At 57.4% G+C, this 18,236-nt stretch overlaps 1 protein-coding gene and 1 long non-coding RNA gene across 2 annotated transcripts in view; one reads left to right on the plus strand and one right to left on the minus strand.

Annotated features, from left to right (window-relative positions):
• Positions 1–18,236, minus strand: part of AATK (apoptosis associated tyrosine kinase) — a 48,927-nt gene that overhangs the window by 28,672 nt on the left and 2,019 nt on the right. The window lies entirely within an intron of this gene.
• LOC124904080 (uncharacterized) lies at positions 964–4,326 on the plus strand. The gene is made up of 2 exons (XR_007065939.1): positions 964–2,602; positions 3,522–4,326. It is a non-coding gene; the product is annotated as an uncharacterized LOC124904080 (long non-coding RNA).

An 18,236-nucleotide genomic window follows, 5' to 3' on the forward strand; every position in this document is an offset into this window, starting at 1 on the left:
CACTCGAGGTGAGGAGTTCGAGACCAGCCTGGGCAACATGGCCAAATCTCTTCTCTACAAAAAAATACAAAAATTGGCCGGGCGTGGTGGCGGACACCTGTAATCCCAGCTACTTGGGAGGCTGAGGCAGGAGAATGACTTGAACTCAGGAGGTGGAGGTTGCAGTGAGCCAAGATCACACCATTGTACTCCAGCCTAGGCAAGAGAGCGAGACTCCATATTAAAAAAAAAAAAAAAAGAAAAAATTAGCTGGGCGTGGTGATGCACACCTGTGGTCCCAGCTACTCAGGAGGCCGAGGTGGGAGGATCACTTGAGCCCAGGAGGCGGAGGTTGCAGTGAGCCAAGATTGAGCCACTGGACCGCAGCCTGGGTGACAGAGAGAGACCCTGTCCCAAAAACAAAAACCACAAACAAGCAAACTACGTGAAGTCAGCTCACAAATGAGGAAATACAAATTGCCCAACCCGGCAGGGCACGGTGGCTCACACCTATAATCCCAGCACTTTGGGAGGCCGAGGTGGGTGGATCACTTGAGGTCAGGAGTTTGAGACCAGCCTGGCCAACATGGCGAAACCTTGTCTCTACTAAAAATACAAAAATTAGCCGGGCATGGTGGCAGGTGCCTGTAGTCCCAGCTACTCGGGAGGCTGAGGCAGGAGAATGGCTTGAACCCAAGAGGTAGAGGTTGTAGTGAGCCGCCCAGATCGCACCACTGCACTCCAGCCTGGATGACAGAGCAAGACGCTGTCTCAAAACAAATAACAACAAAAAACCAAACTGCCCAATCCGTGAGAAAATGTTCAGCCTTGATCATAAAGAAATGCAAAATTATAACATGTCCAGTTTCCAGACAGCGGGAGTTTGTAGAAGCCAGTAAATCAGAACCGGCTGCCCAGGCCGTTTGGTGGATGTTAAATCAGAACAGCCTGTGGACCTGCCTTCTCTCCAGCCAAGTAATTCCATGTCTGGAAATTTACACTAAGAAAATAACCTAGAGGGCACACGCATCCAGAATAAAAATAAAGTAAGGAATGAGAAAGTGAACGCCGCAGACGGAAAAAGCTATTTGCACAAAGATGTTCATTGCAGTGGTATTTATAAGAGCAAAAAAGAGGCCAGGCCTGGTGGCTCCCGCCTGTAATCTCAGCACTCTGGGAGGCCGAGGCAGACAGATCACGAAGTCGGGAGATCGAGACCATCCTGGCTAACACGGTGAAACCTTGTCTCTACTAAAAATACAAAAATTAGCCAGGCGTGGTGGCAGGTACCTGTAGTCCCAGCTACTCGGGAGGCTGAGGCAGGAGAATCGCTTGAACCCGGAAGGCAGAGGTTGCAGTGAGCTGAGATCTCACCACTGCACTCCAGCCTGGGTGACAGAGCGAGACTCCATCTCAAAAAAAAAAAAAAAAAGTAAAAAAGAGCCTAAATGTTCAACAGTGAAAGAATGATGAAATAAAAACAATGGTATATCTGCAAAATAAGCCATAAAAAGTGAATTTAAGACTATGTTTTAGGCCTGGTAAGGTGGCTAACATCTGTAATCCCAGGATGCCAAGACTGGCGGATTGCTTGAACTTAAGAGTTTGAGACTAGCCTGGCCAGCATGGCGAAACCCCATTTAAAAAATAAATAAATAAAATTAGCCAGGCATAGTGGCACACACCTGTGGTCCCAGCTACTCCGGAGGCTGAGGTCGGAGGATCGCTTAAGCCCAGGTGTGGAGGTTGCAGTGAGCTGAGGTCATGCCACTGCACTCGAGCCTGGGTGATGGAGCAAGACCCTGTCTCAAAGAAAAGAAGGTGTTTTAAACAAACGGGAAGATATCAATGACGTTATGCTAAGGAAAAGAAGCAGGACGTGCAGGACTCCCAGGACCAGGGCATGAGGGAAACGTGTCATCGTGACTGTAGGGCCTGGTGTATAGACAGATGTGCATATACATATTTGATGAGCTTTGACGTCTCATATACAGATGTTAGAATTAGTGAAATTACACACGGTCACCATGCGCCGTTTGGTTCTCTTCCTTCTACCCTCAGTAAGGGTAGAAACAAGCAGGACATATAACTATTTACAAATCCTGATCACAACTTTGTCAAAAAAAAAAAAAAAAAAAAAAAAAGAACAGAAGAAAGCTGGGAAAAAATACCCCAAAGCGTGAAGAGTTTGTCTTGGGAGGTAGAAATCCAGCTGGTTGCATCCTGTACTTGCACGTTTTCTACAACAAGCATGCACTGCATTTAGAATCAGACGATGTATGATTGTATTTGATTATCACTCAAACCTGATCCCATCACTGCTGCCCTTACAGAGCCGCGCTGGACGCAGAATGGCCACCTGCCCTGGGGTCTCCGTCCACTCTCTGCTGCCCCCACCACGCTCAGCCTCCCACTTGCTCCTCCACCCTGACATGCTGTCCCAACACCCCCGGCATCTTGCAAAGCGCCTGATGTGGTCCTTGGAGGAGCCCACCCCCGTCCACAGGGACCCTTCCTGCTCAAGACCACAGCCCAGGCCAGCTCACAGGGAACGTCCGCTGGACCAGTACCAGCCTCTAGAACGACCGGCTGGACTTGAAGCCACACATGGCTCCGGGATGAGGTACCTGGGGATGAGCCCCGGGGGTTCCCCCAATGGAAGGCACTGGATACAGTGTGGGAGGGGACACCAACGCCCTGAGGTGCCTGCGGCACACCTGGGGCAAGGGAGGGAAGGAGCATACAGACACACGGGCACACACTTGCACACACACACACACGTGCTCTCAGACACATGCACACACACAAATGCACACGCTCCCACTCACGCTCACTCATGGAGATTCGCATATGCACACACTCACGCGCACACTCACGCACACACCCTTGCCTGTGTCCACAGTCCTGCTCTGAGCCAGCGGGGCCTACCCGAGTGTCCAAGGAGCAGATGACCCTGCTAGTGAGGAGCTTGGGAATAGCCCCCAGTTGGGCAGTTGGCGAGGTGTCCCCAGGTGAGGGAGACACGGAGACCGGGGGTGGAGGTGCCTTGGCCAGGCCAGTGATGGGGCAGCGACCCAGGCTCTGTCCTGGGAGCACCCTGGCCGAGCTCTGGGTTGAATGCGTCCCATGACTGGTGAGCAAAAGGGATGGCCATCCCGAGAGCTGCATTCCGGGGCCGGGGCAGCCCCGCCAGCCTCCTCCAGCTTCTGGGCACCCCCTCCATTGTCCGCAGCCCACCCATCCCGGGCTGGACCCTCCTCCCCTGAGCTGGTGCAGGTTCCCTTCCCTGACCCCAGCACATCACCCACCACCACAGCCTCCAGCCCCGTCACCAGGCCCAGTGGCCACCGCCCACACCCAACACCTCCATCGGACTGCCCTGGAGTTTCCCAACCACACACAGCTGAGGCTAGTTCCCCATGCGGTCCTGCCTCCTGCCCTCCCCGGCCTGTGGGAAACCTAACCCCTTCCCCCACCCTCACACCCCAGCCCCCTGAGGAAACCCAACCTCCAATCCCTTGTCTTCTCTCCACATCCTCCAGCCCCTCACAGGCCTCCAACCTCCACCCCAAGGCACTAGCCCAGGAGGACCCTGCTCACGCCTCCCCGGGGATCTGCAGCGTCACCCACCATGGCCATTCCTGACCTAGATCACAGCCACTTCTAAAAGCACTGCCCGCGGCACCCCCAGCCCACCCTGGGCTTGGCTCCCATGGCCGTGGGCTCACAACAGCCCTGGGTGCCTGGAGCCTGTGCCCCCATGAGCTCTGCCCCCTGCTCACGCCTGTCCGGGCTCTCTGCTTGTCCAGGGTTTCTTCGGAGGCAGGGCCCAAGGCACAGGGTACTCAGGAACCCCCGCTGCAACGGCAGTCAGCCCCCATCAGCCCAGCCTCAAAATGCCCGGTGCCTCAGTTTCCCCAGTCTACCTGGAGGGGCATGTCCCTCTGGTCCGACAGCTCAAGCCCCTGAGGAAGGTGAGCAGCTGACCCATGAGGAGGGCCATGATTTTTTTAATGGGAAATAACAAGTGAGTCCTCATGCTGCCGTGGGACCACTGCGGACCAGCCTGGTGCCTCTGGCGGGGACAGCACACAGCTCTGTGGATACTCGGTGTCCAGACAGGCAAATCCAGACACAGAAAGTGCGTGGGTGGCTGAGGGGAGGGGGATGGGGAGGGACCACTGATGGGTGCGGGGCTTCCTTCTGGGCTGATGAGAATGTTCTGGAACTAGAAGCAGTGGTGGTTTCCACACCTTGGTGAATGTTCTACAAGCCCCTGAGCTGTTTGCTGTAAGATGGTTATTTTGTGTTATGTGAATTATACCTCAATACATTTTTTTAAGTGAACAGTTTGACATCCCTCTGTCAACGCTGGGTGGGGACAGGCGCCCCACTCCCACATTCTAGTGCTCCCCCCCAATCCTAGGACTCCCCCATCCTAGTGCTCCCACCCCATCCTAGGGCTCCCCCTGATCCCAATGCTTCCCCCATCCTACTCCTCAGTACCCCCGGCAGCTCACTGCCCATTCCCCCAGACCTCCTTCGTGCTCTGCCACCAGGGATGCCCCCTCTGGGAAGCCGCCCAGATCCTCCCAGAACAGGGACTGTCTCCACAACAGGCTGTCCTGGGGAACTCCCCTATCACAGCCAGAACCCTCCACTGCTCACACCATGAAGAGCTCATTCCTCATCCAATGTCTCTGGGGACCTGAGGCTCCCCCTGGCACTGCCACGTGGAAAGGTGCGGCACAAGGGGTGCTCAGCAGGCTGGAAGCGGGCTCTGGCCCCTAAGGCAGACAGACAGGGGCCTCTCTGCCTGGGTGGCCAGCAGGTGGGCCTCGGCAGGGCATCTGTGGACCTCCTGGCACCAGGGTCCCCTTTCCCCCGTCTGGTGATGCAAACAGGATCCCGTGCAGGAAGGAACTGGCGCAACCCTGGCAGGCGTGCCGCTGAGTCAAGGGCAGACGGTACTGGGGGAGTCAGCATGTCCAGGGGTCAGGCCAGTGTCCCTGGGAAGCCCAGAGTGGTCCCCATTGTCTGTTACGAATACCCCTACCTCTCAGTTGCAGGCTGAAGTAGTAAGATTCTTGGGGTTCCTGGGACAGGAGAAGGGAGGAAGGGGTACTCTGTGCCCCCCTACGAACCACTGTGAGGCAGACAGAACTTTGTGGGCTGGGGAACAGGATTTCCCTGCAAAGGTTTGCACAGGCGCCCAGACACAGAACATTCTGAGGAACGGAATTCCTAAGCAGAGACACAGAGTCACTTTTCCAGGTGGAGACACGGAAGCCGGGTGTCAGCCAAGCCCCACCTGCACAGAACCCAGGCCCAGCCCCACCTGTCTCCCCCACCGACCCCTCCTGTCTCCCCCCTCACCCCTCCTCCCCCACATCCCCCAGAAATGAAAGGACAGACCCTGTGCCTGGGATCAAGCATTAACTTTTCTATGACGCAAGGCTCCTGGGGCTGGGGGGACCGTGGCCGGGGACGCGTGCACACACTTGTGGCTCAGACGCATCCGAGGGGCAGCAGGCCACCTGACGCCAGGCCCCCACGCGACCCAGTTCTTCAGAGGCCCGGCCTCCCCCATCTGGCTGGTCACTTGGGCCCATCTGCCCCCAGCCTCCCAGGACAAAGGCTGTGTCCAAAGGACACCCTGACCCCAAGAGCTGGAACTGCCCTGGGAGTGATTAAGGAGGGGCTTGGATCATAATCCCAAAAGACACCGTCTCAACACCATCATCCAGAATATGCTGAAATCCCTGAAATCTAAAATCCCCAAAATCACAGTCACCAGAGGGTTGCATCGTGTTAGGCAGAGCTGGGACCCTGAGGTTGTCTTTATTTGGAAATTAAGTGTGCTCAAGGGAGATGCACATGGTGGCCAGGCTGACAAGGGTGGCCTTCGATTTGGGTGTCAACTTAATCATAGAAGAAGTGAAAACACAGGCAAAAAATACAAATCTCCCCACCAAATTATTCAATCACGTGAGACTTCCAACCCCTCACAGGCAGTGCCACGCTTGCCTTCAAAAAAACAGCCTTTGGGGCGGGCACAGTGGCTCCCGCCTGTCATCCCAGCACTTTGGGAGGCTGAGGTGGGCGGATCACTTGAGGTCGGAAGTTCGAGACCAGCCTGGCCAACATGGTGAAACCCCATCTCTACTAAAAATACAAAAAATATTAGCAGGGCGTGGTGGCACTTGCCTGTAATCCCAGCTACTTGGGAGACTGAGGCAGAAGAATCGTTTGAACCCAGGAGGCAGAGATTGCAGGGAGCCAAGATTGTGCCACCGTACTCCAACCTGAGAAGAAAGCATGACTCAGTCTCAAAAAAAATAAAAATAAAAAATCCTTTGGCCGGGAGTGGTGGCTCACACCTGTAATCCCAGAGCTTTGGGAGGTTGAGACAGGAGGATCACTTGAGCCCAGGAGTTTGTCACCCACCTGGACAACATAATGAGACCCCGTCCCTACAAAAATTTAAGAATCATCCAGCAGTGTGACTCGAACCTGTGGTCCCAGCTTGTTGGGAGGCTGAGGCGGGAGGATCGCTTAAGCCCAGGAGGTCAAGGCTGCAGTGAGCCACCATTGCACCAGTGCACTCCAGCTTGGGCCACAGAGCAAAACCCTGTCTCAAGAAAACAACAAACCACAACAAAAGTCCTTTGTCAGAGAAGAAGAAGAATTCAACCAGGTCAGCAACCTCAGAAACAGACGCTTGCTGACACCAATACTCCTTCCTGTTACAAAGCACACTCGGCGGTGAGCTGAGCTATCCTTGGGGATCTGATCACCAGAGAAGATGGATTCTAATATTTAGTATTAAATCTAACAGAAAACCAGTGCATGCTTCACTTTGCCTAATGGATGGCACCTTCAAAACCAGCCCTGCTGAATTTTTTTTTTTTTTTTGAGACCAAGTCTCGCTCTGTCACCCAGGATGGAATGCAATGGTGTGATCTCGGTTCACTGAAACCTCTGCCTCCCAGGTTCACATGATTCTCTCGCCTCAGTCTCCCGAGTAGCAAGGATTACAAGCGTCCACCACCACGCTCAGCTAATATTTGTATTTTTGTAGAGACAGGGTTTCACCATGTTGGCCAGGCTGGTCTTGAACTCCCGACCTCAGGTGATCCGCCTGCCTCGGCCTCCCAAAGTGCTGGGATTATAGGCATGAGCCACCGCACCTGGCCTCCATCCCCACTGATTTTTATCAGCTATATACAATTCATGCCCCTGTTGGATTAGGAAATTCCAGAGCTTTCCTGGCTTGTTTCTGTATTAACAACTGGGAAAAGTACAGCACCTTATCAACATTTATTTGAAGATGTGGTGGACTTTGTGGAAGAAAATGGATTTCAATAGAGTCCCCAAACCATGACAGATTTGGAATTAGGTGTGATCAAGGCTTCTAACAGTCAATTTGAAGATGTCACCAATAAAGTTTGTCTTTTCTGTTCAGCCCAACACACTGGGCGGAAAATTCAGATGAGACAGGAACTTCCGTTTAAAGATGCGTCATTTGCCTGCGTGGGTGTTCCTCCCAGCTGATGACACCCCGGAGCGTTCAGGGAATTAACAGCTGCATTTGCCCTAAGAAGCCGGGGAAGTTACTGACTGGCTCGAAAATACTCGTGCGTATGGCAGGATGAGAGGATGCTTTGTGATGGTGTTGTTGCTCCGTCACCAGCACTATTTCCGCCAAATCTGCGGTCTGTGTATGAGGCCCATGCGCAATGGACCTCCCGTACCCCAAACAACACAGAAGCGTGGCACAGAAGACAGGAGAATCTAATAGGAATGCTCATGCAGTACGGGCTGAATCACAGAAGAATTTCAAAAAGAGCAGTGACAGCTCACGCCTGTAATCCCAGCACTTTGGGAGGCTGAGGCAGGTGGACCACCTGAGGTCAGGAGTTCGAGACCATCCTGGCCAACATGGTGAAACCCCGTCTCCACTAAAAATACAAAAATTAACCCAGCGTGGTGGCGGGCACCTGTAATACCAGCTACTCAGGAGGCTGAGGCAGGAGAATTGCTTGAACCTGGGAGGCGGAGGCTGCAGTGAGCCGAGCTGAGATCACATCACTGCACTCCAGCCTGGGCAACAAGAGTGAAACTCCATCTCAAAAAACAAAACAAAACAAAACAGAGCAGTGCCATGTAGAAGATGAATGTGAGCGTCTTCTCCAAGGAGAGCCACAGCCTACGAGAAAAAAAGCAGCTACTCGTCGAAACGCACAGCCTCACCATGTGGTAGTGAGAGGCAGCCAGCTCTTAGGGACTGTCTCTGTGCAACTGCCCGTCACCTGGCCCTGCCATATACCCTTTTTCATAAATCCAATTTTCTTTTTTCTTAGTTTTTTCTTTCTTTTTTTTTTTTTTTTTTTGAGATGGAGTCTTGCTCTGTCACCCAGGCTGGAGCACAGTGGCACAATTTCAGCTCACTGCAACCTCCGCCTCCCGGGTTCAAGCAATTCTCCTGCCTTAGCCTCCCAGGTAACTGGGATTACAGGCGCCCACCACCATGCCCTGCTAATTTTTGGATTTTAGTAGAGATGGGTTTCACCATATTGGCCAGGGTGGTCTCAAACTCCTGAGCTCAGGTGATCCACCCACCTTGGCCTCCCAAAGTGCTGGAATTACAGGCGTGAACCACCACACCCAGCCTTTCCTACTATTTTATTTACTTATTTTTTGAGTCAGAGTCTCGCTCTGTCGCCCAGGCTGGAGTGCAATGGCACAATCTCGGCTCACTGCAACCTCCACCTCCCAGGTTCAAGCAATTCTCCTGCCTCAGCCTCCCAAGTAGCTGGGATTACAGACTTGCGCCATCACACCCGGCTAATTTTTGTATTTTTAGTAGAGACGGGGTTTCAACATGTTGGCCAGGCTGGTCTCAAACTCCTGACCTCAGGTGATCTGCCTGCCTCGGCCTCCCAAACTGCTGGGATGACAGGTGTGAGCCACTGCGCTCGGCCCTTTCCCACTATTTTAAATGGTCAGCATTACTTCTTACAGCTCGCTGTGCTCTGTGCTTCATCTCCAAATCATTTCCAGTGCTGGAGGTGTGAACTGCGTGGAGACCTTTGGAGGGTTCTCATTCATCTTTGCACTTTTTGCGTGTTTGACTCCACGGATGTGCATCACCACGGCGCTGCGCTCTGCACGGAAACCTTGAACTTCCTCAAAAAATGAAGAGATGTCCTGTTCGTACATTCGCATTTGGGCAAGATAAAATTTCTCAAGACCCTGGCTCTGTGGGCGACTGCACGTGTGGCGGTGACCATCAAGGTTTCTGACGGATCTTGTCAAGAGACTTAAGTCATCGTCACAGTATTTCAGACGAACGCAGTGATGTGGCCAGGTGCACATGCTCACCCACCATAGTAGCACGGCTTCATATGTCTCCCTTTTTAATACATTTTACCTATTATTATTATTATTATTATTTTTTGAGACGCAGTCTCACTCTGTCGCCCAAGTTGGAGTGCAGTGCGTGATCTTGGCTCACTGCAACCTCCGCCTCCCGGATTCAAGTGATTCTCCTGCCTCAGCCTCCCGAGCAGCTGGATTACAGATGCCCGCCACCATGCCTGGCTAATTTTTGTATTTTTAGTACAGACAGGGTTTCACCATCTTGGCCAGGCTGGTCTCGAACTCCTGACCTTGTGATCCATCCACCTCGGCCTCCCAAAGTGCTGGGATTGCAGGCATGAGCCAGCGCGCCCGACCTATAATATTTCTTTTTTTTTTTAATAAGGTCTCACTCTGTCACCCAGGCTGGAGTGCAGCGGTGCCATCACAGCTCACTGCAGCCTCGAACTCCTGGGCTCAAGCAGTCATCTCACTTCAGCCTTCCCAGTAGCTGGGGCTACAGGTGTGTACCACCATGCCTGGCTAATTTTTTATTTTTTGTAGAGATGCGGTCTCGTGTTGCCCAAGCTGGCCTTGAACTCCTGGGCTCAAGCAATCCTCTTGCCTCGGCCTCCCAAAGTGCTGGGATTACAGGTGTGAGCTCCCCATTTATTTATGAGCACAGTTCATCTGCTCATAACTGTATGTAACCTGAGCAGCCTGAGGGTTTCCGCAACAATGTATGTTACCATGTTATAATGTATGTTACTATGTTACAATGTATGTTACAATGTATGTTACAATGTATGTTACTATGTTACAATGTATGTTACTATGTTACAATGTATGTTATCATGTTACAATGTATGTTACTGTTACAATGTATGTTATCATGTTACAATGTATGTTACCATGTTACAATGTATGTTACTATGTTACAATGTATGTTACCATGTTACAATGTATGTTACTATGTTACAATGTATGTTACTATGGCCTGTGTTATTGTGTGAAGTGGCCTCTGAAGTTTTTATTTTTATTGAGTTTTTATGTTTTTCAAATAAATCCCTTTTCAAATGCAAATAAATGTTTTTTGTTTTGTTTTGTTTTTGAGACAGAGTCTTGCTCTGTCGCCCAGGCTGGAGTGCAGTGGTGCTTCTCGGCTCACTGCAAGCTCCGCCTCCCGGGTTCATGCCATTCTCCTGCCTCAGCCTCCCGAGGAGCTGGGACTACAGGCGCCAGCCACCACACCCGCCTAATTTTTTGTATTTTTAGTAGAAACAGGGTTTCACTATGTTGGCCAGGCTGGTCTCAAACTCCTGACCTGGTGATCCGCCTGCCTTGGCCTCCCAAAGTGCTGGGATTACAGGTGTGAGCCACCGCGCCCAGACTAAATGTCTTCTAAAGAATCTTTTAAATCATTTTTTTCCTGAATTCGGTTTTTGGAATTTTGACCTTTTGGGATTTCCACACTCAGGATGATGGCACTTGGGATTGTGTCTTTTGGGATTCAATCAGCTCCTGCTACAGAGAGCCCAGTCCAGCAGACCCCTCCTCGGCCCTGATCGCCAGTCAGGCACGAAACTGAGGACCCCCTCCCCAACTCAGAAGCAGGGCCCTGGGCGGGGTACGGCAAGACCCCACAGGCCTCCCGACACAGGGGAGAGAGGGCAGGAGGAGCCTCTGGGACAGCAACGGTGCCCCCACAGGCCCTGGTGGCGGCATCGTGCCCAGCCCTGAACCATCCCCACAGTCACTCCCGAGACCAGACAGATGTGGGCACCATCTGCCGCGTGGGATTCTGGGTGGCAGGTGAGGACAGGGCAGGGGCTGTAAGTCACAAGACACCGCCCCCGCCAAGAGAGGGGAGCCCGAATGTCCACGGATAAGGAGGATGCAGGCCAGCCACGGTTATTTTTAGGAGAGGCCACATAAAATGTAAGCTTCCGGGACAAGCCCAGGACATGGCAAGGTCCACGGGCCCGGGCCGGGTCCATCCGACACCGCGGGCACCGCACCAGCCCATGCACACGCTCGCCTCCAACCTGGGGCTGCACTTGCTCATAGACGCACACGTACCCCTCCACGCACATGCCTGCCGCACACGCTGGCAGCCCCAAGGTGGGCATCCGGCCCTCCCCCAGTGCTAGGACCAGCCCTACTCTCTGCTGCAGGGAACCCCCGCACAGTTCCCGGGGGTTACCACCCCAGCATCTCTAAGTCCGCCTCTCCTGCCCCTCGACAGCCAACCCTGCAATCAAACATGGGTGCCCAGCCCAGGCCAGCCCAGGGACGGAAGTGAGTTCCACCAGCTGGACACTCACAAGGAATGTCCCCTCTGTTGACACAACACACAGCCCAGGCCCAGCCTGCATCAGCATCAGATGCCCCAGGGCCTACCCCAAGGCTGGTCCAAGGGTGGGAAGGGCACCTGGAATGCCCCCGGTTCCCCAGGAGGCTGATCCCTGACAGTGGAGAAGCCTCCAAGGGGCAGGCAGCTCCAGCTAAGGTCCCACAGCCCCCATCTCTTCGCTCCTGGCCTGTCTCTGCTCGACGCACACTGTCCCCCAACACCTTGGCCCTCGGTCCCGCTCTTCGTGGGGGCCTACCCTCCTGTGCGTCTCAGGACCCCGGCCCTGACACAGCCGGGCATCCAGCTGGCCCCCTACAGACCTGCACGGACTGAGTCCCTCCCTCAGTGCTGGCTGGGCAGCAGCAGGGGGCTGCTGGGCTCAGGCTTGCCAAGGAGGAAACGGGCAGGTCCATGGCCAGGGCGGCCGGGCGTCGCGGATGCATGCCGGCCACGGGTATTTCTAGACAAGACTTGCAGGGCCGCCCGTCACAGAAGGAAAAATAAAACAGTCTGACGCGCTAGTTCAGGCTCCAGCAGCAGCCAAGCATCTCGCCAGACCCCGCGGCAGAGAGCAGGGCGGGGCCCAGCCTCCAGAGCCAGGGTCCGAGCAGGGTCCGTCCTCCCCGTCATTCATCCCTGGGGCCAGGAGCTGCTTTCAGGGACACCTGCCTCTGGGCCACAGAGATTCCAGGCAGCTTCCCAGGGAGAGAAGGTGCCTGAGCCTGGCGGTGTGCTGGTCAGTGTCTGCACCCAGCTCCCTGGGAAGGAAAGCGGGGCGTGTGCCGGCTCCTGCCGCAAGTGCTCTCACCTCGGCCCATTTCAGGGTGGAAGCTGCTGGTGCTCAGCCCTGCACAGGGTCACGGGAAGTGAAGCAGCAGGCCACCTGCTCACTGCGCACAGACCTGAGGCCTTGTGTCCAGGACCTGCCCACTGCCCCGAGCCTGGCTCCCACAGGCCAGCTGGCCAGGGCTGCCCGACACCAGGTACAAACCACCAAAAAATACCTCCAATGGGCACTCGCTTGAGGGGCTCAGAAGAGCTGGGCAGGACCTGGAAAGGCTCCTGACATCTTTCGCCACAGAAAGGCAGACAAGACCACCATGGGCAGCCCCCACATGCTCACGAGCCCGGGCGTTATAAAAACAGCAGCCAGCACTGGCGGGAGGGGAAGCCATGGAGGCGTTCGTCCATGGGGATGGGGGCAAAATGGCACCACCTCCTGGAAGCTCCCTGGACAGTGCCCCACAGTCACACACCAGCACCCCTGATCCCTGGGGCCGCTATACACACAGCGAAAACCTCAGGGCCCAAAGAGGACAAGGCCACAGGACCCTGCTTATGAGACAGACGTCCAGGCCAGGGGCCCAGAGACCGAGACAGATCGGTGGCTGCCAGGGCTGGGGGCAGGGGATGGGGAGTGATGCCCTCGGGCATGGGGCTTCTGTCAGGGGCAGGGATGCTCCACAGCTAGCCGTGCCATGGCTGCACTCTTGGGAATGCAGGAAAGCCCCAGCTGCTCATTTGACACAGGTGGGTCCTTGGTATGTGAGTTACCTCTCAGTAAAGGGGCCCTCACTCCAGCGTCCACGATAGCAGCCCACGGGACAGCCCACAACTGAGCATCATTCACAGAGAGCGAGCGAGATCCCCAACATGGGGCAGCTGGGAGGGCGCCGGCGGCCTGCGAGTGACCGGCCAGGTAGCAGTCCTGGGGGCAGTGGCGGGGACTCTCGGGGGCTGGGCGTGCTGCCGCGCGGGTAAATCCAATGCGGGGAAGCCCCGGACCCGCACCCCGGAGGTCAGAGCGCACTTGTGTGTGCCGTGGTCACTAGGAAGCCACACGCCTTTTTCGCAGGGGGTTCGAGGAAATTCCACGTGGGCCTCACAGCGGAGCCCAAACCCTAAGCAAGCCCCACCGGCTGCAGAATCCGCAGGACCAAGTACCAAGGGAACCCAAGGCCCCTTGTTCAGAGTCACTAAGAATTCCCAGAAGCAGAGCAGAAGGGAAGCCAGAGGGGCCCCACCGAGCACCAGGGCCTCGTCGGAGGATCCTCACACCGAGGACGGCATCCCCAGCTCCATCCCACAACGGCCTCAAGCCACAGCCTCAAACCGTGGCCTTGGCACAGAGGTGACTCGGCAGAGCCCTGGTCCCGGACCAGCTCCCCTGCCCCCCAGCCTGGCTCCCCCAGGCCAGCTGGCCAGGGCTACCCGATACCAGGGACAGGGAGGGGTCTTCCTGGGGACCCTGGCAGGTGGGTAGAGCCAGATTCCTGTCCCTCAGCAGCAGGGACCCCACACCCTCCCCGAGGGTGAGATGGGGATAGGCTGGCCACGCCCCGCCGTGAGAGGTGGCCTTGAGCAGCCCTGGCTCGGGGTAGCATCCTGCCCCTCACTCCCCCTGGGGCAGGTGGCCCCGGCTGCCCAGAATCGCCCACTGCAGAGGCCCTGCCTGCTCTGGCACGGCCACCTCCGCTGGCAGGGTCCCTGCAGGAGCAGGAGTCTCCTGGCCACGGCCCCCACCCCCAGGCTGGCAGTGGGAGCACAGCCCGCATCCTCCCAGAAACCCCCACGTACCAGGCTCTGGGTGTCGCTCCCGCGTGGCTCTGACCGTGGCTGTAACCCCAGAGTGACCCCCGGGAGGACCCCAGCCCGCCCCAGCCCCACCCAAGGCCGCAGCCCCCTGACCCCAGGCCCCGGTCCCTGCGGAGGGAGGCTGGAGACCCGGCGAGGACGCCGCCTCCCGTGACAGTTCTCAGAGGTGCCTGGGAACTGGCTCCGGCCCCGTCCGCTGCCCTCATTTCCTCTGCCGGCTTCCTCTGCGGGGGGGCGGGGAGGCCAAGGCCGCCGGTCCCGCGGGCGCTTGTTCCTCTGTGAAAGGCAGGGCAAGGCCCAGGGGGGCCCAGACGCCAAAGCCCTCCTGTCACTGTGGCCTGCGGAGGGGACGGGAGTCTCCCCACCACGGACACGGGCTCCTGGGCCCCTGGATCTGTGCCACCAGGGACAGGACCGCAGGCCGAGGCCCCACGGCAGGTGCTTTGCATCAGGCTCCCACCCAGGAGTGGTCGAGTGGGCCTCCCGTCAGCCTTGCCCTGGCGTGCACAGAGGGGTCAGGTGGCCCTCGAGAAAAGCCTACCCCGGAAGAACCCCGTGAGCTGGAGACAGGAGGCCGGTGACAGCAGAACAGCGTGGTCCCAGGCTCACCGCCGACACCACATCCGAGGAGACACCGAGGTGCTCCGTGGACCCTCTGCCTCCCCCGTGGACCGAGGAGGAGGCAGAGGATGCCACGCAGCTGTGGCCCCGGCCTGCTTCCTCCTCACACCCAGCCAAGCGCCCTGGAGGGTTCTGAGGCTGGGGGCTAGCACGTGGCCTCATTTTCTTCCAAGGATAACTCTTCTCAGGATGGAGTCAGAGGCTCCTGATGTCTCGAGGCAGCTGTGCTCACCCCTCAGACCCAAGGAGACCCCCAGATGTGTGTCCTGGGACCACGGGCTGCTGGCCCAGACGGCAAGGAATGGATGTGCTCACAGTTCTGGACAGTGGAGGAGGAAAGCACGGCATGGGCAGGGCCACTCCCTCGAGGCGCTGGCGGGATCCTTCCTGCCTCTCCGGCACAGCGGCCCCAGGTGCTCCTGGGCCTGCATCACTCCAGCCTCTGCACGTGGCCTCCTTCCCGCGTGCACGCCACTCCTCCTCTTTCTATCAGGCCCCAGTCATTGGATTCAGGGCCCACCCTACTCCGGTCCGACCTCATCTTAACTTGATTACAGCTGCAAAGACCCTAGTTCTAAATAAGGCCCCATTCTGAGGTACTGGGCGGGCATGGGTTTGGGGTGACATATTCCACTCAGCACATGCCTCCAGGGGGCACAGGCAGGAGCACAGTTCCCAGGCGGCCGGGGTGGTGGGTGAGTGCAGAGAGGACGTGAACAGTCACCAGCCCTGGAGCTGCCGTGACGGCCCCCGGGTTCTCTCAGGAACCTCCTGGAGCGTGGGTGCTGCCGGACCCCATTTCAGAGGTGAAACAGACACAGAGAAGTTATGAGACCTGTCCATGGTCACACAGCAGGGCCCGGCCCAGGACACCAGCCCACGCCAGAACTCTCCCGTGAGGCAGGGTCAGGGTTGGGAGCCGGGGAGGCAGAGGGCATGGCGGGGAGTCGATGCATCCCAAACATGCAGGGTGGCACAAGGCAGACCTTCCAGCATGTTCCACACAACACAACAGCTGCCAGCCCACCCCAGCCAGCTCTGGGGCACTCGGGCCCACAGGGTGGCCACTGCAGGGGCCGGTCCTCTGGGTCACTGCACCACCCCATGGAGGGAAGCGCACAGCCTGGCCTCCTGGAGAATGTGCCGGAATGAGAGAAATGTTCTCCCTGACCCATGCCTGGGAGTGTGGGGCCTCACACCCACCCCCTCCCCGAGTGCCGACACCCACACCCTCCCCGAGTGCCCGCACCCATGCTGGTAGGTGGGAGCCGGACCCGTGCCCAGGGCCCACGGCCTGCGTGTGACCGCTCCCCAAGGCCACTGTCCACACAGCCTTCCCATGGGACCCTCTCCAAGAACCCACCTCGGCCTGCACACCTGCAGCCTAAGGGTCTCGGTGGGAGACCTGAGACCTGAGAGGAAGTAGGGGGATGGGCCGAACTCATGGGCACAGCTTCCTCTGGGGCATCCTCTGAGACCCCGGGGGCGAGAGGAGGACAGGTAACTCCTCCCAGGGCAGGTGCTTGCTGCCTGAGCCTGAGTGGTCTGGGAGACTGAAGCAGCAGCTGCCTTCAAACAGACTCCACACCTGGTGCCCGGGCAGTGTCAGCTGTGGGGCACCTTCCAAGGGGAGGACTCCCGGGGACCACCCAGGCCCATGGCCTCCTGCTCAGCCCCTTGAGCCCCTGAGTCCAGCCCTGCCCCTGCCACTGAGGCCATGCCTGGCCCGGGGCTCGCTGCCTCCTCTGCCCTCTCCCCATCAATAGGCTCATCCTGAGGCCCAGCCTGCCCAGCCCTGTGCCAGGTGTCCGGTTCACATGAATGCTGATAGAGCGAGCACCGTGGCCAGGCACAGGCACTTCTCCCAGGAACCCCCCATGGCGCCTGGTTCAGGTCAGACACAGGGAGAGACCTTGGGCAGGAGACAGGGCGTGAGCTGAGGGACAGGGGAGAGGCGGGGGTTGGGGGGTGGCAAATCCAGGCTGCCACGTGTTCCGAGAACTTCCACAAACTCCAAGCCCTGCCCACTGGTCAACAGTGACACCTCTGCGTCAGGGATCAGCCATGGTAGGCACTGCCCAGGTACCCACCCTTGGCTCAGTGCACCACTGCTGTCCCTTCAGACCTGGCCATCACAGCCATTCCCACCTTACAGATGACAAAACAGGCATGGAGAGCCAGTCACAGAAGGGCCCCTCAGCAAACCAGAGGTGGCCCCAGGGCAAACCCCTGCTCCTAACTGTGCAGAGCATTTGACCCCCACCCTCAGGCTGAGCGCGCCTCTCCAGAAGCCGGAGCGAGGCGGTGTCCCCATGCCCACTTCCAGCCTAGGACAGCTCCAGGCCCCAGGGCTCAGGACGACTAGAAATCATGACGCCCTGAGGCCGCACCAGGGAAGGTGAAGGCTGGGGAGGGTGAGCAACAAGGCCAGCCCCCTCCCTTGGGGCACTCAGGTAGAAGGGGTGACCTCTGCTCGCTCAAGGCCATGCCACCCCCTTCCTGCCAGCCTGGACCCGGCCATCCTGCCCATGTGTCACCCCCATCACCCTGCTTTTCCTGGCCGCCATGCCCACACTAGTCTCCCCAGAGCAAGATTTCACATGTGCAGAACGGATCTCAGAGAGGCTGGGTGAGTAGTCCGAGGCCACACAGCACAGAGGCTGGAAGGCTGCAGCTGCCAAGAAATCCCCCAGCCACGCTCCCGAGTGTCAGGGAGATGGGGGAAGAGCTGGGCTCCAGAGGAGGCGGCTCTTCCTGGCACTCAAGCAGGCTCCTGGGCCGGGTGCCCCCTGCCCTGCCCGCATCTGCCTGGTGCGGAAGGTCAGGGGCCCAGGCAGCCCACAGTCTGTGCCCACAGCCTCCACTCTCAGGCCCTGCACTATCGGGCGTCTCTGCCCCCTGTACCACCACAACTGCCGTCACCTCTATGGAGACTGGCACCAGTTCCTGCGATGAACAAGGAGCCGGCCCGGCAGCGGGGCAGGGCCTGGCAACTGAGGTGAGACCCCCATGTCAGGTGCTAGCACTGCCCCAGATGCTGAGTGACACACAAGCCAACTGCCAGAGCCACAAGCGTGGGCCCCTCCCCTCTGGGTGCCCCCCCACAGACACAAGCAGCCTCAGAAGGAACCAGCTCGCTCCAATTCGGGGATGGCAAGGAGCCAGCCACATGCTGTAGGAAGCTTGGGCCCTGGGGGTCTCTGTCCCAGCACCACCACTCCAGCACAGACAGCCAAGTGCTCACCAAGCACTGAGCCCACCCGGGCCTGCCACAGGTACTGTCGGCCCATGTCATAGATGGGAAAACCGAGGTTCACAGAGGCAAGGC

This window comes from Homo sapiens, chromosome 17 (assembly GCF_000001405.40).
Source record: "Homo sapiens chromosome 17, GRCh38.p14 Primary Assembly".
In the NCBI taxonomy this organism is placed as follows: Eukaryota; Metazoa; Chordata; class Mammalia; order Primates; family Hominidae; genus Homo; species Homo sapiens.